The sequence below is a fragment of the Homo sapiens genome, chromosome 16 (assembly GCF_000001405.40).
Source record: "Homo sapiens chromosome 16, GRCh38.p14 Primary Assembly".
Lineage (NCBI taxonomy): Eukaryota > Metazoa > Chordata > Mammalia > Primates > Hominidae > Homo > Homo sapiens.
Genome location: NC_000016.10, coordinates 75,556,309 through 75,584,135, shown reverse-complemented (window position 1 = coordinate 75,584,135; position 27,827 = coordinate 75,556,309). Strand labels below are relative to the sequence as shown.

General features: G+C 45.6%; 1 protein-coding gene across 1 annotated transcript, besides 10 other annotated features; it reads right to left on the bottom strand.

Moving 5' to 3' along the window:
- Positions 24 to 103: an enhancer, noted in NCBI's record as "active region_11141". NCBI's record gives its function as "activates an Ori minimal core promoter by ATAC-STARR-seq in GM12878 lymphoblastoid cells {active_cell/tissue: GM12878}" and the evidence as "EXISTENCE:reporter gene assay evidence [ECO:0000049][PMID:35858748]".
- GABARAPL2 (GABA type A receptor associated protein like 2) lies at positions 6,255 to 17,757 on the bottom strand. The gene is made up of 4 exons (NM_007285.7): positions 17,616 to 17,757; positions 17,229 to 17,284; positions 15,927 to 16,099; positions 6,255 to 6,857 (listed from the first exon to the last, which is right to left on the bottom strand). Exons 1-4 carry the CDS (start codon positions 17,647 to 17,649, stop codon positions 6,767 to 6,769), a joined length of 354 nt encoding a protein of 117 aa, NP_009216.1. The 5' UTR covers positions 17,650 to 17,757; the 3' UTR covers positions 6,255 to 6,766.
- Positions 7,613 to 7,692: a silencer, noted in NCBI's record as "silent region_7727". NCBI's record gives its function as "represses an Ori minimal core promoter by ATAC-STARR-seq in GM12878 lymphoblastoid cells {active_cell/tissue: GM12878}" and the evidence as "EXISTENCE:reporter gene assay evidence [ECO:0000049][PMID:35858748]".
- Positions 11,720 to 11,839: an enhancer, noted in NCBI's record as "active region_11140". NCBI's record gives its function as "activates an Ori minimal core promoter by ATAC-STARR-seq in GM12878 lymphoblastoid cells {active_cell/tissue: GM12878}" and the evidence as "EXISTENCE:reporter gene assay evidence [ECO:0000049][PMID:35858748]".
- Positions 14,642 to 14,741: an enhancer, noted in NCBI's record as "active region_11139". NCBI's record gives its function as "activates an Ori minimal core promoter by ATAC-STARR-seq in GM12878 lymphoblastoid cells {active_cell/tissue: GM12878}" and the evidence as "EXISTENCE:reporter gene assay evidence [ECO:0000049][PMID:35858748]".
- Positions 16,542 to 17,295: an enhancer, noted in NCBI's record as "H3K27ac-H3K4me1 hESC enhancer chr16:75600739-75601492 (GRCh37/hg19 assembly coordinates)". NCBI's record gives its function as "activates a minimal SCP1, AML or CMV promoter by ChIP-STARR-seq in naive H9 embryonic stem cells {active_cell/tissue: H9 hESC(naive)}" and the evidence as "EXISTENCE:reporter gene assay evidence [ECO:0000049][PMID:30033119]".
- Positions 17,285 to 17,694: a silencer, noted in NCBI's record as "silent region_7726". NCBI's record gives its function as "represses an Ori minimal core promoter by ATAC-STARR-seq in GM12878 lymphoblastoid cells {active_cell/tissue: GM12878}" and the evidence as "EXISTENCE:reporter gene assay evidence [ECO:0000049][PMID:35858748]".
- Positions 23,771 to 24,065: a silencer, noted in NCBI's record as "tiled region #12601; K562 Repressive DNase matched - State 5:Enh". NCBI's record gives its function as "represses a minimal TATA promoter and a strong SV40 promoter by Sharpr-MPRA in K562 cells {active_cell/tissue: K562}" and the evidence as "EXISTENCE:reporter gene assay evidence [ECO:0000049][PMID:27701403]".
- Positions 27,454 to 27,563: an enhancer, noted in NCBI's record as "active region_11138". NCBI's record gives its function as "activates an Ori minimal core promoter by ATAC-STARR-seq in GM12878 lymphoblastoid cells {active_cell/tissue: GM12878}" and the evidence as "EXISTENCE:reporter gene assay evidence [ECO:0000049][PMID:35858748]".
- Positions 27,594 to 27,673: an enhancer, noted in NCBI's record as "active region_11137". NCBI's record gives its function as "activates an Ori minimal core promoter by ATAC-STARR-seq in GM12878 lymphoblastoid cells {active_cell/tissue: GM12878}" and the evidence as "EXISTENCE:reporter gene assay evidence [ECO:0000049][PMID:35858748]".
- Positions 27,714 to 27,823: a silencer, noted in NCBI's record as "silent region_7725". NCBI's record gives its function as "represses an Ori minimal core promoter by ATAC-STARR-seq in GM12878 lymphoblastoid cells {active_cell/tissue: GM12878}" and the evidence as "EXISTENCE:reporter gene assay evidence [ECO:0000049][PMID:35858748]".

Below are 27,827 nucleotides of genomic sequence, written 5' to 3'. Positions count from 1 at the left end.
CAAGTTACAGGAAGCCAAGGTGCAAGGGTCGTTTGAGCCCAGGAATTCAAGACCAGCCTGGGCAACCCAGTGAGACCCTGTGTCTTTAAAAAAAAAGAAAAGAAAAGAAAAGAAACACTCATGACCCAATTAACAGTAAACATTTTGCTGTCTTTGCGTCAGGTTTTTACTTTTTGGACAAAACATGACTAGTGTTTGAAACCCCACATTTACCCTTTCCTGATCCCATTTCCCTCCCTCCATGAGGTAACCACCATCCTGAATTTGATGTTTCATTCCCTTGCGTGGTTTATACTTTTATTACATAAGTTTATATCTATAAGCAATAAATATAATTGTTTTGCAAATTTTTAAAGTTTATTATAGAGATGGATCATGCTGAATATACTGCCTCTTGCTTTTTTCATTATCAGTACTGTTTTGGAGATTTATTTATGTTGGCACATGTGGCTCTAGTTATTTCAACTGCTATATAGTATTCCTTTGTATAAATATACCACATTATCTCTCCATTCTCCTGTGGTGGACATTTAGTTGGTTTCCAATTTTTTGTTCAAACAAGGTTGCAATGATCATTCTTCTACATGTCTCTTGTACACATGTAGGGATATTTCTGGAATATATAACTAAAAGTGGAACTTGCTAAGCCATGGATTACAGGCACCTTCAACTTCACTAGATACAGTGTCAAACTTTTTCCCAAAGTGATGGTACCAGTTTACATACAAAATAGCCATTTATGACAATTCTAGATGCTTCACGTCCTCACCAATATTTCATTTGTTGAAAATTTAATTTCGGCCAATTTGATGCAGTTATATTCTATAGTTTCCTTTAGATTTTTACAAGGCCACCAATAATGTAGTGTAGATACCACACAACTCTAGGAGGTGCTGTTCACATTTTAGTCTTTGTGAACGGTGCATTCTAGAGTTGGTACAATAACAGTGGTCTTGAGTGATGTTAAGAATTTTGTTTATTGACCTGTTAGGTTTTCTCTTTTGTAGGAATTACACAAAATAATTGATTATATACATATGAAAAAATAGATTCCTATATTAATTATACATAAAATAAATTCAAGGTAAATTAAAGAGCTAAATGCCAGGCCGGGCATGGTAGCTTAAGCCTGGCCAGCACTTTGTGGGGCTGAGGCAGGAGGATTGCTTAAACCCACGAATTTGAGGCTGCAGTGAGCTATGAACATGCCACTGCACTCCAGCCTGGGCAGCAGAGCGAGACCCCATCTCTTTAAAAAAATAAAAACTTTACGATTTTTCTATGTTAATAAATGAGATCTATAATTTCTTTTTTCTCTTACACTGTCTTTTTGTTTCTGTGGGTTTTGTTTTGCTTTGGACACAGGGTTTCACTCTGTCACCCAGGCTGGAGTAAAGTGGCACGATCATCACTCACTGCAAGCTTAAACTCCTGGGCTCAATTGATCCTCCCACCTTGGCCTCCCAAAGTGTTGGGATGGGATTACAGGCATGAGCCACTGTGCATGGCCTCATGTTGTCTTTATAAAGTTTTAACACTGAGATTTGGTAAGTCTCAAAATGAATTTGTGGTTATTCCTTTTTCTAATCTCAAATAGTTTAAAAGTCTTTCGCCCATTTTTCTACTGGGTGGTTTGTTTTTATTGTTGTTGTTGTTTGAGAGTCTTGCTCTGTTGCCCAGACTGGAGTACAGTGGAGCGATCTCAGCTCACTGCAACCTCCACCTCCCAGGTTCAAGAGATTCTCCTGCCTCAGCTTACCGCATAGCTGGGATTACAGGTGCCACCACCACGCCCAGTTAATTTTTGTATTTTTAGTAGAGACAGGGTTTCTTTTCTTCTCTTTTTTTTTTTTTTTTTTTTTGAGATGGAGTCTCAACTCTGTCACCCAGGCTGGAGTGCAGTGGTGCAATCTTGGCTCACTGCAACCTCTGCCTCCCGGGTTCAAGCAATTCTCCTGCCTCAGCCTCCCGAGTAGCTGGGACTACAGGCACGTGCCACGACGCCCGGCTAATTTTTTGTATTTTTAGTAGAGACGGGGTTTCGCAGTGTTAGCCAGGATGGTGTCGATCTCCTGACCTTGTGATCTGCCCGCCTCGGCCTCCCAAAATGCTGGGATTACAGGCATAAGCCACCACACCTGGCCCTAGAGACAGGGTTTCATCAAGTTGGCCAGGCTGGTCTTGACCTCCTGACCCCAAGTGATCCACCCACCTCAGCCTCCCAAAGTGCTGGGCTTACACGTGTGAGCCACAGCACCCAGCCTAGGTGGTTTGTGTTACTGATTCCAAGAGTTCTTTTATTTATTTTGGATATTAATTATGTCTTGATTATATCTCTTACCCAGTCTGTGGCTTCTATTTGTTTTAGGTGCTTTTTTTTTTTTTTTTTTTTCCTGTTTTGAGACAGAGTCTCGCTCTGTCAGCCAAGCTGGAGTGCAATGGTAAGATCTCAGCTCACTGCAACCTCTGTCTCCCAGGCTCAAGCAATTCTCCTGCCTCAGCCTCCCAAGTAGCTGGGATTACAGGTGCCCGCTAACACGCCCAGCTAATTTTTGTATTTTTAGTAGAGACAGGGTTTCACCATGTTGACCAGGTTGGTCTTGACCTCCTGACCTCAAGTGATCCACATACCTCAGCCTCCCAAAGTGCTGGGATTACGGGCATGAGCCACTGTTCGTGGCCTGTTTTTGTTTTTCGCAACAGGGTCACCCAGGCTGAAGTGCAGTGGCACAATCATAGCTCACTGCAACCTTAAACTCCTTGGGCTCATCACCTGAGCTTCCCACTTCAGCCTCCTCAGTAGCTGGGACTATAGGCCTGCACCACGAGGCCCAGCTAATTCTTAAATTTTTTGTAGAGACAGTGTCTCACTACGTTGCCCAGGGCTCAAACTCCTGGCCTCAAGGGATCCTTCCACTTCGACCTCCCAAAGTGCTGGCAATACAGGTGTGAGCCGCCATGCTGTCTCATATTCAGATATTTAATCCACCTTGAATTTATTTTGTGTGTAATACAGGGATCTGTTTTTTCATATATAACCGTTATAGAGTCATGGGTCATCCAGTTCATTTTTCATGCCATTGCTGTTATATTTTAAACATGGGGGCCAGGCACCACTCATGAAGCTGAGATGGAAGGATCACTTGAGCCCAGGAATTCGAAGCTACAGTGAGCTGTGATCACAGCCCAGCACTCCAGCCTGTGTGACAGTGAGACCCCATCTCTTTTAAAATATATATATATGATTTTTCTATGTTGATAAATGAGACAAAGCTATAACTTTTTCTCTTATACTATCTTTATAAAGTTTTAAACATTGAGATTTTATAAGTCTCAAAAGAAATGTAATTATTCCTTTTCTAATCTCTGAAACAATTTAAGAAAGGGGTTCCTTAGTTTGATAAAATTCATCTGTACAATTTTACAAGTCTAGTGTCTTTTTGAGGAGTAGGGTTTGGGGGAAGAGTATATGCTTTTTTTTTTTAACTTTTAAAATCTTCACTTAGATGTTACATTTTAAAGGTAAAATTGACAAATCCACTGTTATTGACTGATATTCCAAATAAGGCTGCTTTCTTCAATGGTTTGTTTTGTAGCTGATAGCTACTCCCGCCTCTGTTCCAGGACTTCTGCTATAGCACTTACAACATTGCTTTGTAATTATTCTTTACATGTTGGTTTACCGCCAGACGGAAACCTCCTGGAAGACAGGATAGTACTTTGTTCGTATTTGTGCCCTAGTATGCAGCATGGTTAATCCTATTCTGTAGGATTCTGTATAATCCTACATTTACATGGTTAAGAAGAGGTTCACTACTCCCTCCCACCAGTCCCTGCTCCAAATGGGGCTGTTTGGTACACCAAGCAAGGCCAGAGTCCTCCCAGGCACATTATAAATAGAAAAAAAAAATCATGAAATGATTTGACATTGCCAACCACATCATTCTTCTTCAGTTTTACTTATTATCTCAGTTCTGCCACTTGGTAGTCGTGTGGCTGTGGAAACTTCACTACCTATCTTATGGGGGCTTTTTGAAGATTGTGATAATGTATGTAAATCATCTGGTATCCAGAGGGTGTTTAATAAGTGCTAACTATAAATTACTTAAAAGAAAAACACGGCTGGGCATGGTGGCTGACGCCTGTAATCCCAGCACTTTGTGAGCTGAGGCGGGTGGGTCACCTAAGGTCAGGAGTTCGAGACCACTCTGGCCAACACGGTGAAACCGTCTCTACTAAAAATACAAAAATTAGCTGGGCGTGGTGGCACACGCCTGTAATCTCAGCTATTCGGGAGGCTGAGGCAGAATTGCTGGAACCCGGGAGGCGGAGGTTGCAGTGAGCTGAGATTGTGCCATTGCACTCCAGCCCAGGCTGACAACAGCGAGACTCCGTCTCAAAAAAACAAACAAAAAACGCAATTGGCTTCAACGATACTTGCCTTTTGGTTTTCTTCTCTTTAGCTGTTTTTTCTCGTTTGCATTTGTGGGTTTGTGGTTGTGAAACAGAAATAAATCAAAATGCCTTTGGGAAGCCACCCCTCCTCCACTTCTGTAAAATCCTATTTCTGTTCATATGTTTAAGCAGAGGTTCACCATTCTCTGGCCCAAGCAGGGCTGTTTGGTAGTCCAAGCAAGGCCAGAGACCTCCCAGGGACTTTTGTTAGTGCTCTCAGAAAAGATGTTCTTCCTTCCACTAGAGTTGCTAAGCAACTCCAAAGATGGGGCCATCTTTGCCATCACATGGAGAGAACACAGAGAAAAACAAAACCAAGAGATGGAGTTTTGATGTTATTATTTGATCCCTGGTTCTAGCTACACCTCAAGCCAGTGAACCATCCCTCTGAGAGGTGAGATAATAAACTGCCTTTTTAATGCTAAGGCCTGTTTGAATTGGGAGCATGTCATTGCAAATAAAATTCCTTAGTAACACAGAGCTTGCTTTCCCTTTACCTTGATCGCTCTGAGGTCAGTTTCTAACTGCTTTTAGTGTGAAACTATCAGCAAAGAGAAACAGATTTTATTACCTCAAGTTTGGTAAAGACCCAACAAGATGTTTGTGACAAATTAAGAATGTTTCCTCTGATCCCAACTGAGAAGATGACATCAGTAGAGAGCTTGGATGAGCTGCTTATATAATTTGGTGAAGATAAAGTTAAAGGTCTTTGTTTCTTCCGCAATGGAAAGTGTGAGTCATTTTAATTACATGTTCTTAGACTGGTGGGACATACCTGGTTTCTTTATTCTTGTCTGTGTAGTGCTCTAGCCACCAACACAGTATGTCTGCAGAAGATTTAAGAAAGTATCTAAGCATTTCCTCTCAAATGTATTTGTGTCCTAGCAAGCCTACACATCTCTACTAATGTGTGAGAAATGAAACTCATGCGCATAGATAAATCTAATCTTGATTTTTAGGAAGAAGGGAGTAGAAAGCAGTACCTTAAAGAATGCAGGAACATGAAAAAGATGCACAGAAGTGATATGGAAAGATCACTAAAATATAATGTTAAATGAAAAAAAGCAGTGTATATAGAAGTGTATGTTTTCTTTGTATAAGAAAAAGAAGAAGCCGGGTGTAGTGGTGGGCGCCTGTAATCCCAGCACTTTGGGAGGCTGAGGTGGGTGGGTCACCTGAGGTCAGGAGTTTGAGACAAGCCTGGCCAACATGATAAGACCTCATCTCTACTGAAAATACAAAATTAGCTGGGCGTGGTGGTACATGCCTCTAATCCCAGCTATTCAGGAGGCAAGGCGGGAGAACTCCTTGAACCCGGGAGGCGGAGGCTGCAGTGAACTGAGATTGCACCATCACACTCCAGCCTGGGTGACAAGAGCAAAACTCCGGTCTCAAAAAAAAAAAAAAGAAGAAAGAAAATAAGGATATGTATTCATATTTAATTATCCTTTTTACTGTGCCATTATACTGTCCTTTAAATTATCCTATTTACTTTTAAAATATTGAAAAGAAACAAGAAGCCAGTAAAAGTAATTTCCCATAAAGGGCAGAGGTGGTTAGGAAGCTGGCAGGAGCAAGCCTTCTCAGTGTATACCTTTTTGTATTGTCCCGATACCTCAAACATGTGAACATATTAGTTATTCAAAACAATGTCTCTCCTCATGACCCTGGCCATGGCTTCCCGACCCAGGATGTGCGGCCATGACCTCCACAAGCCCTCTTCCTGGTCTGGCAGATGTAGGAGCCACTTCTCTGGCCCATCCAAATGCGGGTGAATAAAGGACATGGCCACAGTACAATGCCTTTATAAGAGAATTTTTATTGTTAATTATTTACCTTAATAGTTTCAGAAAGAGGAACAAATTAGCTCAGTCCAACATGATTGGCAGTTGGCATATTCTAGTGAAGCAAGTGTTCTGACTGCTAAGGATTTAATTTGGATAATTTTAATACTTAGCCATCTAACACTTCAAGCATAACCCAGAATAAATGCATCACCTTCCCTTTCACTTTAATACCGCACCTACCTCACTTCGATATAGAAATATCATTCAATATGATTTCCAGAAGGACAAGTTTCCTGGAGAATACAGGCATGAGGACAATGCACAAAAAGAAAAACTCAAAATAAAACTCTGTATGATAATTTACTAGTCTAAGGAAACAAAACCTTCCAATATATTAAGAAATAAATCCAGTTACAAATGCACTAATAGGTCTATGTGAAGAGGTTCTGGTATAATAACTGAAAATGGCTGGCTATTTACAAGATACACAAGCAGTTACGGTGCACCTAGCCCAGCAATGGCCCTCAGAAGCCAAAAGTGTTCTCTCCGCTGTAGGCCACATATAAGAATCCATCTTCATCTTTTTCCTTCTCGTAAAGCTGTCCCATAGTTAGGCTTGAAAGAGAAAAACAAAAACGTCATTGAAAATTGGAGTCCAGGTTTCAGGAGAAAAAGGATGGCCTGAGGACAGGAATTTAGTAAGACTTCAGGTGTCAGTACCTGCTGTGTGCTTATAATCCTGTTTTAAAGCAAGAGAAAGGAGCCATAAAAAGATTAAAATAAATGAAGTCTGCAGAAGGCAAAGCCATTTGACATCCTCCCAAGTAAATCCTTTAAAGCAGCCAGCTCCTTCAGGGGGCTTTGGCTGGCTAACACATGGATGCCTCTTAAATGCCAAGGACAAGGGAAGAAACTAAGCAAAATGAAGAACCTGAAAGGCTCACCTCTGTGTGGGTAAAGGACCCTAGCAAAGAAGAGTAGTTTGGGTTCATTCTCATGGAATCTCCCCAGCTAAACCGCTGTGCCCCAGGGTGCCCACATGGTGTATCAACATCATCAAAGAGAAGTTATTTTCCTCACACTTAATGCAAAAAGCTCTAAATGTATCTGGGATCCAAAGAAGCCTGCCCAACCTCCCAAAGAACCCTCCAAAAATAGATACTCTTCAAACTAAACGTGTGTGGGTAGAAAAGCTGGCTTTCCCTAAGCAGTAAAACAGACTGCGCAGTGGAGACCTAATCTAGTTCTGTGCCATGAAACTGAGTTGGACCAGCTCCAGAGTAAGACTAGTAACACCTGGATCCCTATGCAAGCTCTGCCCCGTGACTGTACTCTCTGAGATGAGAGGAAGTGCAAATGTGTTAAGACCATGAGTGAAGGGATCAACCAGAAACAGTGGTAAGATGCTCAGTCTGAGACATCTGAGGTCACTAGCCCAGATAGGTAAGTCACAACAGATCCTTAAAAGGGGAACTCATAAACCAAGAGCCAGTGGGGAAGATAAGGAGTCCAAGGCCTCAACCTGAGGAAACAGTGACTGCCCCACTTGCTGCTTTGCTCCTCAAGGGCTGAGTGGAACCTCCATGTAAACATGGACAAATACCACATTTATGAAGGGGGAGGTTTTGAGTTTTTTTCCTGTTCTTCCTGCCCCATTTGCAAGCTTAGCTCGGATGGCTGTGTGGGTAGATGAGAATTATTAAGTAACAATGTGGGGGAGGTCTGAATTTGAATATGAAAGAACCTGTCATCAGCATCTTGTACAATAAAAACGGTGCTCCCTGTGAGGACCTCTTAGCCTGGAATTTGTAAAATAAGGACTCCCTGGAACAGAACTGTTCAATAGAAATCTCTGCTCTGATTGAAATGTCCTGTATCACTGCCACAGCAGCCACTAGCTACATTCAGCACTTGAAAGTCTGGCTCGTGTGAATTGGGATGTGCAGTGTAAAACATAAACAAGGCTTCAGACTTAGTATGAAAATGCAGCAAAATAGCTCAATTTTGATTACATGTTGAAATGATAAAATTATGGATATACTGGGTCAAATAAAATATATTAAGTGGATCACCTGAGGTCGGGAGTTCAAGACCAGCCTGACCAACATAGTGAAACCCTGTCTCTACTAAAAATACAAAAGTAAGCCGGGCGCGGTGGCTCACACCTGTAATCCCAGCAGTTTGGGAGGCCGAGGCGGGTGGATCACAAGGTCAGGAGATTGAGACCATCCTGGCTAACAACGGTGAAACCCCGTCTCTACTAAAAAATACAAAAAATTAGCTGGGCGTGGTGGCGGGCACCTGTGGTCCCAGCTATTCAGGAGGCTGAGGCAGGAGAATGGCGTGAGCCTGGGAGGCGGAGCTTGCAGTGAGCCGAGATCGTGCCACTGCACTCCAGCCTGGGCGACAGAGCGAGACTCTGTCAAAAAAAGTATCCAGGCATGGTAGTGCACGCCTGTCATCCCAGCTACTCGGGAAGCTGAGGCCGGAGAATCGCTTTAACCTGGGAGGTGGAGGTTGCAGTGAGCCAAGATCGTGCCATTGTACTGCAGCCTGGGCAACAAGAGCAAAACTCTGTCTCAAAAAAAAAAAAATTAATTTCAACTGTTTTTATTTTTTTAATGTGGCTACTAGAAAATTCTTAAATTACATATGTGGCTTGCATCCATTTCTACTGACAGCACTGCCCCAGAACAAGACTTAGGGGGCAGTGGGTAGAGGGAGGAACAACGCCTGCAGCCGTGGGTCTCAGCCTTGGCTGCACATCAGAATCTTACTTTAAAGAGAGCTTTAAAAACATCTCTGTGCCCAAGCCCTACCCCAGACCAATGAAATCATCACTATGTTTTGTTTTGTTTTGTAAAGACAGAGTCTTGCTCTGTCGCTTGGGCTGGAGTACAGTAGCAGGATCTCGGTTCACTGCAACCTCCACCTTCCGGTTCAAACAAGTCTCATGTCTTAGCCTCCCAAGTAGCTGGGATTACAGGTGCATGCCACCACGCCTGGCTAATTTGTTTTTGTTTTTGTTTTTAGTAGAGGTGGGATTTCACCATGTTGGCCAGGCTGGTCTTGAACTCCTGACCTCAGGTGAGCCACCGTGTCCGGCCTCATCAGTATATTTTTAAATGCCAAAAATGATTCCATATGCAGCCAGGTTGCAAAGGGAAATGCCTGACCTTTTGTTGGGGGGGAGAAGGGAGGGTCATCTTTAAAAGCTATGTGATTAGGAAGTAGAGTGACAAGCCAGGAAGTGAAATGACAAGCCAGAAACTAGCAGAAGGGCTTGAACATGTAGCTGAGTCTCCCAAGATTTTTACCCTGGTGGTTGAGAATGCCCAGAGAGTAACCCCATTTTTCTCTGAAACTCCTCAGAATGAGGCTAATGGGAAAACAACTACAGCTACTGCCACAACTCTTTACCCCATTTGTCCAAGTGTCCAGGGTGATCTTGATGACAACTGTCGTAACATCTCCCCGCTGCCACTACCAGATGGGTTTAGATGCAGTAGCAGACATTGTGTGCAATTCAGAGTCGCCCCATAGTGTCTCTGTCAAGTTTGGTTCCAAACAGACTAAGTTCTGCTCTTTTCCTAGCAAGTTAGAAGCCCTAGTACAATGATTCTAAATCCCGCTGCTACATTAGAAACATTTGAAGAGCTTCGTAAACACCAGCAGCCCACCCCCGGGCCTGTGTATGCTATCCAGGGTGAACAATAACCACTGGACCGCTACTGTTGAAGGCAGGTCGTGAGACTCTGAGCCCTGACTCTTGGCAGGACAGGAGGCCCACAATCATGTGGCTTTCATTCCTTTCTGGCTTTAGATTCCATTGTCTTTTAAGTAAAACTTGGGTTCATTAATTTGTTTAAGCAGTGCCCTAGTAGCTACAGAAGCTGATAGTAAAAATCCTAACTATAATGGCAACACATGTGCCAAGCACTGCTTATACATTACATGTATTAACTCTTTATCCTCAAAACAATCTCATGAGGTAGATGGTACCATAATCCATAGTTCCTAGATAGGAAAACTGAGGCACAGAGATTCTAAATTCACTCCAGGTCACAAAACTAGGAGACCACCAAGCTTTGCTGCCTCCAAGTGATTAGACAGCTAGATCTGCTCTGATGACCTAACATTAGAGTCCTTGTACCTTCTGCAGAGATCTTCCTTAGAACAGTGCTTCTCATACAAATGTTGGTACCAACCATCGGAACATCAAGCTCCCAGGTAAGGCGACTGCTGCCAGTCTCTGCATCACATGCTGAGTAGCAAGGTCTTAGGGCTCTCTCCTTCCCATCTTGTAATTTGACAGTTAGATGCCTCAGTGCGTAAGAACTTAAGAATCCAACAATTTCTCCTTTTCTGACACACAACCTCATGTGGAAACTTAGTTGGCAGTAGCACTGTGTCCTTATAGTCAGGATACCCCTTGGGCAAGGAACTTGGTAACTGAATGCTCAATGCTGAACATGCACCTAATTTTGAGGCTTCACTGGGTGCCATGAAGCAAGACTGATTTGAAAACAGCACTTACGGGATCTGACTGCATACATGCAGAGTCAGAATAATTTGGCCTGCAGCCAAAATGAGCTGGGCCACAAACAGACTTAAAAAAAATTAACTCATTTTTGTAAAGTCCCATTAAATGGATATGCAAATGGAAGTGCAGGGAGACAAAATGTGACCCTTGCTAGCAGAGAGTCTATTAGCAGAAGGCTGGTGTGTCAGTTTGGGACACATTCCATAAACCTCTGAGAAGTTAAACTTCCCCCTCAGAATTTGGAGGCCTGAGCTATACACAGCACTGAGCAGGCCACTGCTAGGATGCCTGAGGATCCTGCAGCACAGAGGCAGCTCTAATGCATCTATCCAGCTAAGCTGCACAGGCTTGCTGGATGCCCTGACAACTCGCAAGTAGCACTGCAGCTCCAAGGCTTGCTGCCTAAGTTGCTGGGAGGTGGCTGTAGAGAACACCTGAAGATGGCCTCCAGTCCCTAACACGAATGCACACCCTGTGGCATCAAGTACCACACGCATTCATCTGAGAAAGATGCTGCTCTGAGTACAGAAGCACTGCCACCTTCCAAGCTCTGAGTCTGGCAAAGAAAGAAACGGGTAAAGCCAGTGGTAGATTCAAGCCATGGAGCTAATCTAAGGTGAAGTGGGACCCTGAAGTACTATGTGAAAATGAATTTAAACTGCCCCCTAAAGCCCTCTCCCCAACCCCTCCACTGAATGACACAGATCCAGGTAAAACCACTTCTCCAGTGGAGAAACTGTGCAATAAAAAAAGGAAAGTTGCAGCAAGACCTACATCCAGGAATGGCCATGTGACTCAAGACAGACATCAGTTTATGCTACCAACAGCGCTATGCATTGGGAGAGGCTGACCTAGAACTGTATGGATGCCCAATCCCTAGAGAACCTACGTTCGCCCCAACCAAGGGCAGGTCATGGAGGCTGTGGGGTCTACACCGACTCATGAATTGGCTGGGCTGATGAGCACACCTGGCCACCCATCTGCTTTGGAGTCCACGCGCTTCCACTGGACCTTGGATTATCTCTTCTCCAGCAGGGCAGGATGGGTGGTGGGAGGTGGAAGGGCAGTGACCACTACTGTCAATCCTGGAGAGGCACTGGCTTCACAGTGAAAGTTAATAAGGCCCTGAGGCTCCCCAAGATTCTAAAATAAAAAGATTAACCACTGGTTGTTGTTCCTTTTTTTGTTTTGAGACAGTTTCACTCATGTCACCCAGGCTGGAGTGCAGTGGCGTGATCTTGGCTCACCACAACCTCCTCCTCCCAGCTTCAAGCGATTCTCCTGCCTCAGCCCCCGAGTAGCTGGGATTACCGGCGACCGCCACCACACACGGCCTAGGACAGAACATATTTATCTGATAAAAAGAACAACTAGGCCGGGAGCAGTGGCTCACGCCTGTAATCCCAGCACTTTGGGAGGCCAAGGTCGGCGAATCACCTGAGGTCAGGAGTTAAGAGACCAGCCTGGCCAACATGGTAAAACCCGTCTCTACTAAAAATACAAAAAAAGTAGCCGGGCGTGGTGGCAGTCGCCTGTAATCCCAGCTACTAGGGGGCAGAGGCAGGAGAATCGCTTGAAGCTGGGAGGCAGAGGTTGCAGTGAGCTGAGATCGCGCCACTGCCTGGGCACTCTAGCCTGGGCGACATGAGTGAAACTCCGTCTCCAAAAAAAAAAAAAAAGTCCTGTCCTTAAAGAGGTATTTACCCAGAAATGATCAAAGTGCTTTAAGCACATTTCTAAATAAAGGATGATTAAGTGTGGGGTGAGAAGTCATTAATTGGGCCTGAAGGGTCAGGAATTGGATTTCTGGTTACTCTGTCCTAAAATCCTGACTTGGGTTACTGGTATAATCTGCTTTAGGGTGGATTCTCAGCAGAATGGAAAGGCAAATGGGACTTGGAGAGAAAATGGCCTTGAAGCAGTCTCTGTTGCCCTGAAAATCACTTTTCATTTCCAAAACATCACAACTTCCTTTTACTGAAGATCTCTTTAAGATCCAGAAGCAAATAAACACCATATTCTTAAACAGCACAGGTTTCCCAATGTCAGTTATAATATCTGGCCAGGCATGGTGGGTAACACCCATAATCCCAGCACTCTGGGAGGCCAAAGCAGGAGGATCACCTGTAGCCAGGAGTTTGAGACCAACCTGGTGAGGTAGGAGGACTTCTCAAGCCCAGGAGTTCAAGGCTGCAGTGAGCTATGACTGTGCCACTGCACTCCAGCCAGGGTGACAGAGCAAGACCTTGTCTCAACAACAATAAAAAATAATATCTTAGAGATATTATATTTAATGATATACTCCTGTTTCTATTTTAAACAGGGGATTAACAAGACTCTTATCTATGTTCTAAACAAACAAAGACCAAAGACCATTCACTGCCAGGTCTGAGTTCCCCTCTAACGTCATGACTAGGAAACTTGTACACTGATGTTTTTTCTGAAGTTCTGTCTGAACAAAGGCATGGTTCCCCATTCCGTTTTTGGCCTGATTCTTGATGCTGGCACCTAGGCAGAGAATTCAACTTTCCAATGCTAAATGGGAAAAGGCCATTGTGATTCCCTCTTTTTTAAATGAAACAAGAACTTAGAATTTAGGAAGTAAAACTTAGGGACTTGCCTCTGTCTCTATTTATAGAATCAATATTTAATACTAACTACTCTAAATAAAAATCATGACACTTTACATGGTGACCGCCTGTTTTCCACTCCAAGGCAGAAATAACTGAGAACTCACTCCCCTTCAGCCTCAGACATAATTGATCTTCATGCAGACCAGTCAGTCACCGGAGAGGGAGGGCTCCTGCAGGCCTGAATTCGTCCCTTCTCTAATTTCCCCAGCCACTCTTTGAAGCCAGCAAGCACTGCATGAAGGTTAAGGGAGGCTCCATGCTCCCCTAAGGAAGCTGAAAAGACCTGAGGAAGAGGCTGCTAAATTGTCTTGGGGAAGAGATGGTGAAGCTGAATCACAGCCAGCTTTAGGAAGGACCCTGTAGCACTTTTTATGTTTATGGGTGATTTATATATTGCATAAAGCCCAATGATGTCACACGCCTCTTATGTTTAGAAACAAATTTATATTTTTAGCCCGGTGTGGTGACATGCACCTGTGGTCCTGTCCCAGTTATTAGGGAGGCTGAGGTGAGAGGATCACTTGAACCTAGGAGGCAGAGATTGTAGTGAGCTCAGATTGCACCACTGCACTGCAATCTGGGCAACAGAGTGAGACTCTGTCTCAAAAAAAAAATTACTTCTGAGAATAAAACCCCAAAATAAACAGTTGCATTAAGTGTAGGGTGATAAGTCATTAACTGGGGCCAAAGAGCTGACAGCCTGGGCAAAAGGGCCCTAGCTGGTGACTCTAAATCCTGAAGGGTCAGGAGCTGGATTTCTGGCTACTCGGCCCTAAAATCCTGACTTGAGTTACCAGTGTAATCTGCTTTAGGGTTGATTCTCACCACACTGGAAAGGCAAATGGGACTTGGAGAGAAAATGGCTTGAAACAGTCTCTGCTGCCCTGAAAAATCATTTTTCATTTCCAATTCTATTTCTATCTCAGGGATAACGGGGGAGGGGAAGTTGATAAGACCTGTAGCCATTTTAATTGCTAGATTACTGTGGAGCCATCTGAGTAATCTTAAGGTCTCCAGAAGCCTGCTTCATTTCCTTTGAGAAGAACCAGAGAATCAGAATTGAGGAAAATAAACTCAATGCCATAGGTCCTAGTCACTTATTTTCTCCCACTAAGCCAACACCTCCAGGAAGTACAAAACACAGAGTCACCAAGGCTCTGTAGAAGTTGCAGATGTTATGAAAGAAGATTACCTCCCCAAACACGTTAAGGAAAGCCCAGGGTAACCACGGATGCCCAAGGCTTCCTCCCCTGGTGAAGACACAGCCCAGAGGCCTGGGAAGGAAGGTTAGAAGAGCCCCATGGGTGACAAGATCTCCTCAAGCAACACCACAGCTTCCAGAGCTACAGCTGTGGCAGACCAATGGCGTCCAGTGGGCAGGCCCTGGGGTGTCTCCTCAGGTTGAATACTGGCCTTAGGGAAGGAGCTTCCATTTCTCCCCTGCCTTTCTATCAGACACCAGGAAGTAGAGGTGGAGGACACTGGGAAAGAGGAAATCAGACCAAAAAATGGCCAGAGCTTTCCACCTTTAACAGAAATAAGGTCTGGAATTTGGCACAGGCCTCTTCTGGAGTCTTCAAGGATTTTCAACAGGAACCTATTTGGACAACATTGGGCTAGTTCCCAGGGCTTCTGAGAGCCTTCACTTTTAGAAGTATTACTTCTGGGAGTGGTAAATGAAACCTAGATTGGGTCACAAAGATAAGATGTGGCCAGAAACTCACACTCAGGGGAGAGGTGGGGGCTGGAATCTGGATCAGGGCCTACAACTACCCACTCAGTAACGGGAAAGGACTGACCAGGAGGTTAGACGGAGCCCATCCACTTTCCTTTTTCCACAGGGGACTAAAGCTGGGCTGTCAAACACACAGAAAACGGGAATTCTAATGCCTCTGCCTACATTCAGGCCACAAGTTACAGTCCCAAAGATTGCTTCCAGGCAGCACAATAGTCTGACAGTCAAAGCAAGTGCTACCAAGGGAGGTATAAGTCTGTAAAGAGACTTCAGAGCCCTTTACTGTGCCGCAGTCATTTTGTCAGACTTGAGGATCAGGCAGCTATAGACTCTTACAATGTCAAAGAGTTGACCAAGTTTGGGAGCAAGCAAACTGGATGATTAACTGAGTGAGCCTCAGCAGGGCCCACAGGCTCCCAGTGGAGGAGCATGCCAGGACTGCCTTCAGGGAAGAAAACCTCATTTCAGGCCTCAGTTCTACCTATAGCTTAAGACTAAATAAGTTCTCAACCGTTTTAAAAGATTCTTGGAGATCTTAGGCTGAGTTTCATCATTTTTTTAAAAGTCCAGGCCTTGTTCTATTTTCTGAATCCAAAATGCACTCTTATGTATTGCAGCCATTATTTTCCTGGAGCCCCTGATGTCAGGGAGCATAAAATCCAGATTTCTAGTCAGGACCCCTAAGAGTTTTCAGACTTCCAAAGTTTTGGAGTTCCGTAAGCAGCCAACCAGATGTCTAATACCAGAGGGCCCATCTAGTAAACACCTCTCACCTGGACTGTGGGACTGTCTTATCCACAAACAGGAAGATCGCCTTTTCAGAAGGAAGCTGGATCCTTTTCCTGATGATCCACATGAACTGAGCCACAGTGATATCAGATGGAACCAAGTACTTCCGTTTGTCAATGTCAACAATCTGAGAGCCTGAGACCTTTTCCACAATCACCTGGGAAAGTAAAGAGAGGTCAGGACTGTGTTTCCTAAAGCGAGGCTCTGGCCTCACATGGCTGAGGAGCTGATGAACAGAGTGTGGGCAAGGAGGTGGGTGGGGAACTGCATAGCAGGAGAAAATATGTCTTTGGCTTAATAAACCACACGCTCTGGAGGTTAAGAATTGATATAAATGTGTTACAGGGAAACAGTAAGTGCTTTTCTGTGGTCAATTATGTAAGAGAAATGCAGCCCTTACCACTAAGCTTTTCCACATTTTATCTGGGCAGACCTAAGAATATCTGGGGAGGGTTTCATCCATGGCCCGTTACTCCAGGACCCCAGAATGGATCCACCTTCACACTACAGGAAACACTACTGTGTTCCCAAGGAACACAGGAGACAAGAATGGATGGACTAATTGGAATGCCTGGAATTTTAGCCAGCCAAGAACCAAGTTCTTCATTTGGCCTGTTGCTCCTCTCTGAACAAGTTTCAAATCCGTCCCTCCTACTCCTTTCCCCAGACAAATTATTCACAAGCAAAGAGCTACAATAACAGGCCTTAATGTCCATTAAAAATTAATAACGATTACAAAACTATCTCCCCAACCATGGAAGAAATATAACATTATATTTATTATTGACTAAGAAGAAAATATGGCAGAAGGGGTTTTCAGCGGCTTTTCACATTATTTTGGTCAGGCAAGGATGACAGGGTCAAGGTGAGATAACGGAGCTAGAAGTTAGGTAAAGATGGAGACAAAGTAAAAGATGAACGTCCTGAGACTCAAGTACCACTTCCAAGACCAAAATGACAGTCTCCCTCCACCACCATTCCCAAAAGTGGCAGTGACCTGTTGCCCTGTCCTAGAACATCGTTCCTTACATAATTGGCCAGGGAGCCCCGAGGCTGCAGACGGCTCGCTGGCCTAGATCGGGAGATTCAGCACTGAGGCACCCTGAACAGCACCAGCCCGAGCCCCTCACGCCCCGGCCCTGGGCGGCCTCATCCCGGTCTGGCCCGTCAGCTACTGTAACTGGGACTGGAACCTCAACTTGTCAACTGTTGAATGGCCTGGGGCCTATCACGGGTCCCAGACGACAGAGGTGACAGCGAGGTGAGGGGGCGGAGAGTCCACTCACCGGAACCCTGTCGGGATATTTCGCTCGAATCTTCGCGGACTCCACGCATCTGTGTTCTGTGGGAGAAACAAACGGGGCTGACGGCCGCGCCTGCCCACCGGTCGGTTCCCGGCCCCCGGCCCTCCTCCTCCTGCGCCCTGCGTACAACCCAGGCCCTGGTTCCGGCGTCCCCGGGGCCGCGGTCCTGTCCCCTACTAGCTCCCAGCAAGGCCCGCGGAGGGTGACATGGGGTCAGGGGGCCGCTGCCCGAGGCACCAGGGCATGGGCGACTCCAGCCCGCAGCAGGGCATCCGCCCCGCTCCACTCGGCCCAGGGCCGCCCGAGTGGGGGAGGGGGCCCACCCGCCGCCCCAGCCCCCAGCAGCCGGGCCGACGACCAAGTGCTTACCCAGCGAGTGGTCCTCCTTGAACATCCACTTCATGGCGGCGGCGGGAAGGGGACGGAACCGGCTCGCGGAGCCGCGGAGCTCAGCGCACCGAGCACAACAACAACGACGGCGGCAGCGGCAGCGGCAGCGACGGCGGCGACTACACGGCAGGCGGGACTTCCGGCTGTCGGAGCCTAGCAACCGGCCGGGGGCGGGGCTTCCGGCGCCATTTGTCAGGGCGCCACGCCAAGGGGCGGGGCCGCACGTAAAGGGGCGGGGCCGCGGAGGACCCCTTTGGGGGCTCCTGGGCTGCGGTGGCGAAGAAGTTGGTTATGGGGACGTCTGTGAGCAGTATCTGCGACATTGCTCGCAGGAATGTTCGGGGAACTGGTGACAGGAGTGGGGTCTCGGGAGCGTTGGTGGCGGAAAACGTCTGGCTGATAGTGTAGGGCTCTTACTGAGGGCTGTTTGGGGGTGTGGCTGATAGCTGAGGGCTCTTAGAGCGGTTCATAGGGGAAGTCTGGGGAATTGGTGACAAGAACGGTCTTTAGGGGTAAGAATGACATAAGGAGGGCTTTCTAGAGCTTGGCGATAACAAGGGAGCTGTTTAGGGCGTTGACAGTTTGGGGAGTATTGCTCGGAGTGGTGACAGGTTGGGGGCTCATTATGGGAGGGGAGGGTGTTTGAGGACACTGTTGGAAGCGGCACTGAGGACAACCCGGAGGTCCGTATTAGGGACAGCCGTAGTAGGTTGTCTTGGACCTAGAAATTGAATTTAAACAAATCCCGTTTTCTTCCTTTATTCGTGAATAAATATTTGAATAAACATTTACGAAAAGGTATCACAAATGCACATTTGAGGCGGGGTACGGTGGCTCACGCCTGTAATCCCAACACTTTGGGAGGCCGACGCGGGTGGATCACCTGAGGTCAGGAGTTGAAGACCAGCCTGGCCAACATGGTGAAACCCCGTCTCTACTAAAAATACAAAAATTAGCCAGGCATGGTAGTGGGCGCCTGTAGTCCCAGCTCCTCGGGAGGCTGAGGCAGGAGAATCGTTTGAACCAGGGAGGTGGAGGTGGCAGTGAGCCGAGATCACACCACTGCACTCCAGCCTGGGCAACAGAGCAAGACTCCGCCTCAAAAAAAAATGCACATTTGAGGAGTGTAACATCACTGATCACAGACCCCTTAATTTTAACTGGCAGAGGAGTTAGAGGTGACTGTCAGACTCGGAGAATTCCCCTGAGAGCTGGTCATGAGATGGGTTTCCTTATTTGGCTGTGGGAGTGGTTTAGCAATCACAGCCTGAGCTGTGTGTGTGTCACCTGCCCGGACATATGCTTTGAGGTTCTCCAATCAGTGATGTAATGCCTTTTTTCCAAGCAGACTCATCAAGGCAGTCTGGTCTGGGTCACCATCTGTTTATAAGCTGCTGAACATGTAGCAGGAATATTCACTTAATTGGGCACATGAACCCTGCCACGTGCTTGTGATTCTGATGCACCTGTAAAGCCTGTATGTTTGAATGTGGTAGTTCATCATTTCCTACACTGGAAATTCCTGATCGATGCTGTGGAATCTAGCTTCATTCTATAAGTATTTTTGTTATTTTAAGACTGTGTGTCTGAGTAACTAGAATAGGTTTTTTTGTTTCTTTGTTTTTGTTTTTGTTTTTTGGAGACAGGGTCTTTCTCTGTCACCCAGGCTGGAGTTCAGTGGCACAATCTTGGCTTACTGCAGTCTGCCTCCTGGGTTCAAGCGATTCTGCTGCCTCAGCCTCCTGAGTAGCTGGGACTACAGGGACACACCACCACACCCAGCTAATTTTTGTATTTTTGGTAGAGATGGGGTTTTGTCATGTTCGCCAGGCTGGTCTTGAACTTCTCACCTCAAGTAAGTGATTTGCCCGCCTCGGCCTCCCAAAGTGCTAGGATTACAGGTGTGAGCCACTGCATCTGTTTGTTTGTTTTTAATGAAGTGGAAAAAATCCTTTGAATTTCCTACTTAGAAATTATTGTTACATACAAGAGCTCTGTGCTAGGTGCTGGGGAAAAACAGTGAAGAAGACAGATGACATCCCTATTCTCATGGGTGGCAGCATGAGATATTCTTGTCCCCCTGACATATTCTAGTGGGATAAGACAAAAAATAAGTATGTTAGGTAATGATAGGTGCTATTTCGAAAAATAAAGCACAGTAGGTGACTAGAGAGTGTGGTGGGATGGAATGCTAATTAGATAAAGTGCCTGGCATATTCTAGGGAACCCCTGTGGCTGGAGCTGAATAAATGAGAGAGGAGAGTGTGTTATGAGACAAATTCAAAGATATCTAGAACAAAACTGTGTTGAGCTTTGAATTCCATGCAAAGAGCTTTGGATTTTATTTAGAATGAGATGAGAAGTCAGTGTAGGGGTTTAAGCAGAGACGTAACACAATCTGCCTTTCCTTTTCAAAAGGCTAGCTTAGTAGACTGTAGGCGCTGAGGGTGGAAGCAGGGAAATAGTTGAGACACTATTGTGATAATCCTGGTGAAAGATGATGTTGGCTTTGGCCAAGGTGGGGTCTACAGAGGTGATGGGAAGCAGTTGTATTCTGGATATATTTCGAAGGTAAAACTGGTAACAGTTGCTGATAGATTGGATGTAAGACATGAGGGACAGATCAAAATCAAGGTTTTTGGAAGGATGGAATTGCCATTTACTGAAATAGGGTGGAGCCAGCTTGGGGAGTGAAAAACAAGAGTTTGGTTTTTGAGATATTAAATATGAGATGTCCAAGGGACATACACAAGTGAAGATGTAGAGTTGGTGAATGGTGCTATGAGTCTCAAATTTAGAGAGAAATATTTCAAGCTATTAAACTGGGTAAGATTAGGTAGACAGTGAGTTTAAAAATGAAAATACTTGGCCGGGTGCAGTGGCATATGCCTGTAATCCCAGCACTTTGGGAGGCCGAGGCAGGTGGATCACCTGAAGTCAGGAGTTCATGACCAGCCTGACTAACGTGTTGAAACCCCGTCTCTGCTAAATACAAAACAATTAGCCAGGTATGGTGGCACATGCCTGTAATCGCAGCTACTTGGGAGGCTGAGACAGGAGAATTGCTTTTACTTAGGAGGCAGAGGTTGCAGTGAGCTGAGATCGCGCCACTCCACTCCAGCCTGGGCAACAAGAGCGAAACTCCGTCTCAAAAAAAGAAAATACCTATTTTACAAATAGAATTAAACACTGAAGAATGAAGATGGTTGTTCACCATCTCCTAGTCAGTGAACCAGTGGAGGAGTTAGAAATTGGACTCAACACCCCTGCTTCCCTTTACAGAGCTGGTCATTGCATCCTAGTCCAAAATATATGTATATTGTCTTGCATGTGAAAGAGCTGAGAACACTTCTTAGGGGAAAATTTCACTGCACACCAATTCATAGACATGTCTTTTGATGGTCTCAATGATGTGCAATGCATTTTGGTCTTCCATCCTTACCTACTTTCTTGGTGTGTTTTCCCAGTTCACCATTCTAATTGACTTATTTCATCCACCTTGATGATATGTACCACCTTCTTTACATATTGGGTCATTGTATTTAGCTATGGAATGTTCTAAGGACACTGGATGCCTTCCTTGAGGGAGTGGTTAGTTAAGGACGTAAGTCAGGAGGAGAAATAGGATAATGAATATATGCAACGTAATTACACATTAACAAATCTATAAAACACAGAGAATGAATTTCAAATGTTGGAGAGGTATGTGAACATGGATACTGAGGCATTGCTAGGGCAATAGGGGCCAGCACAAAGCCAAGTGAGAATTAGCAAGGAAGACTTCACAGAGAATGTGAATCTTCTGTTGTAGAGAGAAGGGTACATTTTCATTGGGTAAACTTTTCCTTTCCAGATAAAAACAAAGGCTGGGGTTGGAAGAGGGAACAGAAAAGCAGTATAGATAAGTAAATAAAATGTTGGAAAGCTTTGAAGCAAACATTCAGAAGTTCTAACCTAATTCAGGAGACCCTGAATAAGAGCTCCTATAAAGGAGAGAAGAACATGATTAAAATGTGCAATTTGGGGCTGGGTGCAGTGGCTCATGCCTGTAATCCCAGCACTCTGGGAGGCCGAGGCAGGTGGATCACCTCAGGCCAGGAGTTCTAGACCAGACTGGCCAACATGGTGAAACCCCGTCTTTACTGAAAATACAAAAATTAGCCAGGCATGGTGGCACGCACCTGTGGTCCCAGCTACTCAGGAGGCTGCAGGCATGAGAATCGCCTGAGCCCAGGAGGTGGAGGTTGCAGTGAGCCAAGATAGTGCCACTGCACTCCAGCCTGAGCGACAGGGTGAGACTCCATCTCAAGAAAAAAAAAATGTGGCCAGGTGCGGTGGCTCACGCCTGTAATCCCAGCACTTTAGGAGGCCAAGGCAGGCGGATCATGAGGTCAGGAGTTCGAGACCAGCCTGACCAATAAGGTGAAACCCCGTCTCTACTAAAAATACAAAAAAAAAAAAAAAAATTCACCAGGCGTGGTGGTGAGCGCCTGTAATCCCAGCTACTCAGGAGGCTGAGGCAGGAGAATCGCTTGAACCCGGGAGGCGGAGGTTGCAGTGAGCCGAGATCGCCCCACTGCACTCCAGCCTGGGCTACAGAACAAGACTCCATCTCAAAAAAAAAAAAAAAAAAAAAGTGCAGTTTTAAGAGGATGACTCTTTTTGTCCTCAGAAATAAATTGTATGAAAAACAAGAACATTGTGGAAGTGGAAACTGAGAAGTCAGTTATCAGTCATGGGTGTATGGAAATGACACATATACACAGATCTTTAACATTTTTAAATCTATACTTTCTCTTAAAGAATTGAAATAAAACTACAAAACGAGCTTTCTCAAACCATGGAAGCAAAGAGTAAATAGTATCCATTATTACTAAATACTTTTGCAAAGTTCATGGCATCTCAGGGAAGGCTGAAGCACTTGGTACACCTAAATTCTTAGTAGTCACCTCCTTCTGTTTCAGGAGTGACTTTGGTACAGTATCTGTTTCCTTCCATTGAAAGAAGGAGCTTTGGAGGCAAACACTTCCTTCCTCACAGGATAGTGACTCTCAGGAGTCGACCCTAGATCCATCTATTCCAGAAGACCCCTGTGGTTATATAAATAAATGAAAGTCGGCTGGGCGTGGTGGCTCACGTTTGTAATCCCAGCACTTTGGGAGGCCGAGGTGGGCGAATCATGAGGTCAGGAGTTTGAGACCAGCCTGGCCAACATGGTGAAACCCCATCTCTACTAAAAATACAAAAAATTAGCTGGGCGTGGTGGCAGGTGCCTGTAATCCGAGCTACTCAGGAGGCTGAGAGAGGAGAATCGCTTGAACCTGGGAGGCTGAGGTTGCAGTGAGCCGAGATCACACCATTGCACTCCAGCCTGGGCAACAACAGTGAAACTCTCTCTCTCAAAAAAAGAAAGTCATCCACTTAAAGCATAGATATAGTGTGTCAGAATCAAACCATAGATTTAACCTTAACAATTGCTATATTTAAGAACTATGTTGAGGCTCAGTGTGGTGGTCCCAGCACTTCAGGAGGCCGAGGCAGGTGGATCTCTTAAGCCCCAGAATATGAGATCAACCTGCTAGCCTGGGCAACATGGCGAAATCCCATCTCCACCAAAAAAACAAAAACGAACAAAAACCTATGTTGAGGCCAGATACAGTGGCTCACACCCGTAATCCCAGCACTTTGGGATTACTCAAGAAGGATACTTGAGCCCAGGAGTTGGAGACCAGCCTGGGCAACATGACAAGACTTTGTCACTTAAAAACAAAATTTTTTTTTAGATGGAAGCGCCTAGGCTGGAGTGCAGTGGCACGATCTCAGCTCGCTGCAACCTCTACCTCCCGGGTTCAAGTGATTGTCCTGCCTCAGCCAAAAATTTTTTTAAAAATTAGCCGGGAATAGTGGCCTCAGCTATTCAGGAGGCTGAGGCAGGACAAGTACTTGAGCCCAGGAGGTAGACAGAGGGAGACCCTGTATAAAAACAACAACAACAACAAACTACATTGCCACCCCAGAAAAGCTTTTAATCAAGAACAAGTAGTATTGAACCTGATATTTCAAAAGCATTTTGTGGCTGATGACGTTGTCGTCTTGGACTGTAGTAAGGACCCTAGGATGGTTTTCCCAAATGGGCAGTCTTGACCTCTCTATTAAGTCTGTGATGTTAGGATGTCAGCTGTTCTCTTCATCTAAAAGCCACTTCGAGGTTGCTTTCAAAGTAGTGGGAGTAACTACTGGACTCCACCCAGCACAAACCTCACGCCATCTCCTGACACTGCAATGTGATCCTTCAGGGCTTTTTTTTTTTTTTCCCTTTCTTCAGACAGTCTCGCTCTCGCTCTGTCACCCAGGCTAGAGTGCAGTAGTGCAGTCACTGCTTACTGCAACCTCTAACTCTTGGGCTCAAGCAATCCTCCTTTCTTAGCATCCCAAAGTGTTACTGGAAAGGGGTCCCAATCCAGATCCCAAGAAAGGGTTCCTGGCTCTCAACACAGGAAAGAATTTGGGGCAAGTCCACAGAGTAAAAAAAAATGGCTACTCCATAGACAGAGCAGCAGTATGGGCTACTCGACTGAGTAAATTTATAGTTATTTCTTGATCCATATGGTAAACAAAGGGTAGATTATTCCTGACTTTTCCAGGAAAGGGGCAGAGATTTCCCCAGAACTGAGGGTCCCTCCCCTTTTTAGACTATATAGGGTAACTTCCGGACATTGCCGTGGCATTTGTAAATTGTCATGGCACCAGTGGGAGTATCGTTTAGCATGCCAATGCATTACAATGAGCAGATCATGAGCAGTGAGGACGACCAGAGGTCACACTCAAGGCCATCTTGGTTTTGGTGGCTTTTGACTGGCTTTTTTTCTTTTTTCTTTCTTTTTTTTTTTTTTCTCTGAGACAGAGTTTCGTTCTTATCACCCAGGCTGGAGTGCAATGGCGTGATCTCGGCTCACTACAACCTCCGCCTCCCGGGTTCAACTGATTCTCCCTCCTCAGCCTCCAGAGTAGCTGAGACTACAGGTGCCCGCCACCATGCCCAGCTAATTTTTGTATTTTTAGTAGAGACAGGGTTCCAGGCATGAGCCACCATGCCCGGCCTTGGCTGGCTTCTTTTTAACTGCATCCTGTTTTATCCACAGGGTCTCTGTAACCTGTATCTTGTGCCATCCTTCTAGCTCATACTGTGACTAAGAATGCCTTACCTCCTGGGAAGACAGCTCAGTAGGTCCCAGCCTTATTTTACTTAGCCCCTATTCGAGATGGAGTTGCTTTGGTTCAAACACCTCTGACAAAAGTGCTAAGATGAGCCACTTCACCCAGCCTCAACAGCCTCTTGACTGGTCTCCCTGACTTCTGTTTTTCCTCACCCCTCACTCAATGACCCCATCCTGGTATACTGTAAACCTAAAATAAAATTCTAAGCTCCCAACCATCTGAATGGAACCCTTGTCTCAGCCAAGGGCATTCCAAAGTTAACCTGAAAAACTAGTCTGGCCATCATGGGAAGTGGGGAGTCAGACGTAACTCATTATACCCTCCTCTTTTTGGAATTCAGACCCAGCTGACCAGTATTAGCATCAACACATAGATCTTAAGACTGATATTAATAGAACAGACTCTTAAAGTCTGATAAGAAACATTTACAATCTGTTCTCTCTGAAGCCTGGAGGCTTCATCTGCATGATAAAACATTAGACTCCACAACCCCTTATTGTTTTTTGTTTTTGTTTTTTTTTTGAAATGGAGTCTCACTTTGTCACCCAGGCTGAAGTGCAGTGGTATGATCTCGGCTCACTGCAGCTGCTGCCTCCCGGGTTAAAGCAATTCTCCTGCCTCAGCCTCCCAAGTAGCTGGGATTACAGGTGGACACCGCCAGATGCAGCTAATGTTTTTTTTTTTAATACATATTTTTGGTAGAGACAGGGTTTCACCATGTTGGCCAGGCTGGTCTTGAACTCCTGACCTCAAGTGATCTGCCTGCCTTGGCCTCCCAAAGTGTTGGGATTACAGGCGTGAGCCACTGTGCCCCGCCCACAAACCCACACATTCCTTTCTATTGATTCCAGGTCTTTAGATAATAACCAGTTGACAATTGGAAAAATCTCTGAATCTGCCAATTCTGTGGTCTGGAAGCCCCACCCCACCTCCACTTGTCTCATCTTTCAGTACTGAACCAATGTACATCTTACACGTATTGATTGATGTCTTATGTCTCCCTAAATGTATAAACTCAAGTTATACCCTATCCACCTTGGGCGTATGTCATCAGGACCTCCTGAGGCTGTGTCACAGGCATGTCCTTAACCTTGGCAAAATAAATTTCTACGTTGATTGAGACTTGTCTCAGATACATTTTGGTTTACACTACTGACATGCTGTCATTAGAGTGACTTTTCCAAATCACAAAGCTTATCATGTCTTTCCACTTAAATGTCATTTTACTGACCCTTTAACAAATTTACTTATATTTAAATATTTTGTATTTATTTTTTTAGAGACAAGGTCTCCTTCTGTCTCCCAGCCTGGAGTGCAGTAGTGCATTCATGGCTCACTGCAGCCTCCTGGGCTCAAGCCTTCCTCCTGCCCAGGCCTCCCGAGTAGCTGGACCTACAGGCATGAGCCACTGTGCTCAGCCACTCAGGACCTTTTTGTTGTTGTTGTTGTTGTTTGAGATGGAGTCTCGCTGCCACCCAGGCTGGAGTCCAATGTGTGATCTCCGCTCACTGTAATCTGTGCCTCCCGGGTTCAAGCGATTCTCCTGCCTCAGCCTCCAGAGTAGCTGGGATTACAGGTGCCCATCACCATGCCTGGCTAATTTTTGTATTTTTAGTAGAGATGAGGGTTCACCATGTTGGCCAGGCTGGTCTTGAACCCCTGACCTCAGGTGATCCGCCCACCTTGGCCTCCCAAAGTGTTGGGATTACAGGCGTGAGCCACCGTGCCCAGCCATTCAGGGCCATTTGATGAAGAAATTGGCTGTGGACCATAGATTTTTTTAAAAAGTCCTTCTACCATGTTAGAAATATTGGTTGGGGGTGGTGGCGGGGGGGTGTAGGCATTCAATTAAGCAATAAGCCAGTGATCTTTGGGGAGGACCATATATTCCTGTAAAACTCGCGGCTGAGCTGTACCCAACACAGGGTTAACGAAGTGCATCAGAGCTTTGTAGTAATTCCACTCTATCCGTGGAAGAGCCAGGGGATTTGTGTTTCCGTGTCTGTCTTGCATGGGAGCATAGTGGAAGCAACAGAAAATCTGGGGGCAAAAGCACCTGGCTTTGATCTCAGCCCAGGACCAGGTCCAGGACCACGGCCAGGCTTGTGACTGACTGGACTTCAGTAGGAACCACACTGGGGGTTAACAGATGACACAAAAGCAGGTGTTCGTTCTGTGCGGGAGACGCGCTAGGGGAGAAGAAAAGGCACACACACAGTACCTTTAAGGGTAAGCAAGCTTTATCCCACGTAAATGGCAATGCAGATATTATAATAAGCAAATTAATATAATAAGCAGATTGATATAATAAGCAAATTGCAATGGGAAGAGGAGAAGGAAAAAGACATATATATATATATATTTACACTCACCAGACTATGGAGGATTCACCTCCAGACTGGGAAGCAACGACCTGGGCTCCAGAGCCGGCCACTCGTCAGTGCACAGACGAGGAGAGGTCTCATGAAGCTTTTTGGCGTGGTCTGGGACCCTAGATCTTTTTGTAACATGTTGTCTAGCATGAGGCCCAGTCACGAGGGCCCTTTGCGACTGGGCTCAAGGAACACAAAAAGGTCAACTTGTTTTTGCGATTGTTGTTTTTCAATAACTGACGTATAGGAGTAGACTGAAATAGAGATTTCTCCGAAACAGCGCTGGATGAACGCCTCAAGGGGCTCCCACAACCTGTTTAGGGACTTGGTGACCATTGTTTGTGTCCATGTCAGTTGAAATTTAAATATTTAGTTCTTCCTCCTCAGTGTTCAAGTCAACTTTTATGGGCATCTTATTTTACACAAATGTTAACACAGACAACAGCCACGACTCTGGTCCACGGAAACGTTCTATCGCCGCCCAGCCTTTACGCAAACGTACACAGCTCGAAAAGCTAGGCCGACCGTCCCCGGCAGCGCCACGCCCGCTAACCCCGCCCCCGCCACTGGCTCCTTTCGGTGCGGCCTTGCTATTGGCTCC

What these genes read in the sequence shown, in the direction of transcription:
- GABARAPL2 (NM_007285.7), bottom strand. Translation starts at nt 17,649, where the DNA reads ATGAAGTGGATGTTCAAGGAGGACCACTCGCTGG. An exon ending in AATATCCCGACAGGGTTCCG is followed by an intron (nt 16,100 to 17,228) that starts GTGAGTGGACTC and finishes TTACTTTCCCAG; the next exon opens with GTGATTGTGGAAAAGGTCTC. An exon ending in AAGACAGTCCCACAGTCCAG is followed by an intron (nt 6,858 to 15,926) that starts GTGAGAGGTGTT and finishes TTCTCTTTCAAG; the next exon opens with CCTAACTATGGGACAGCTTT.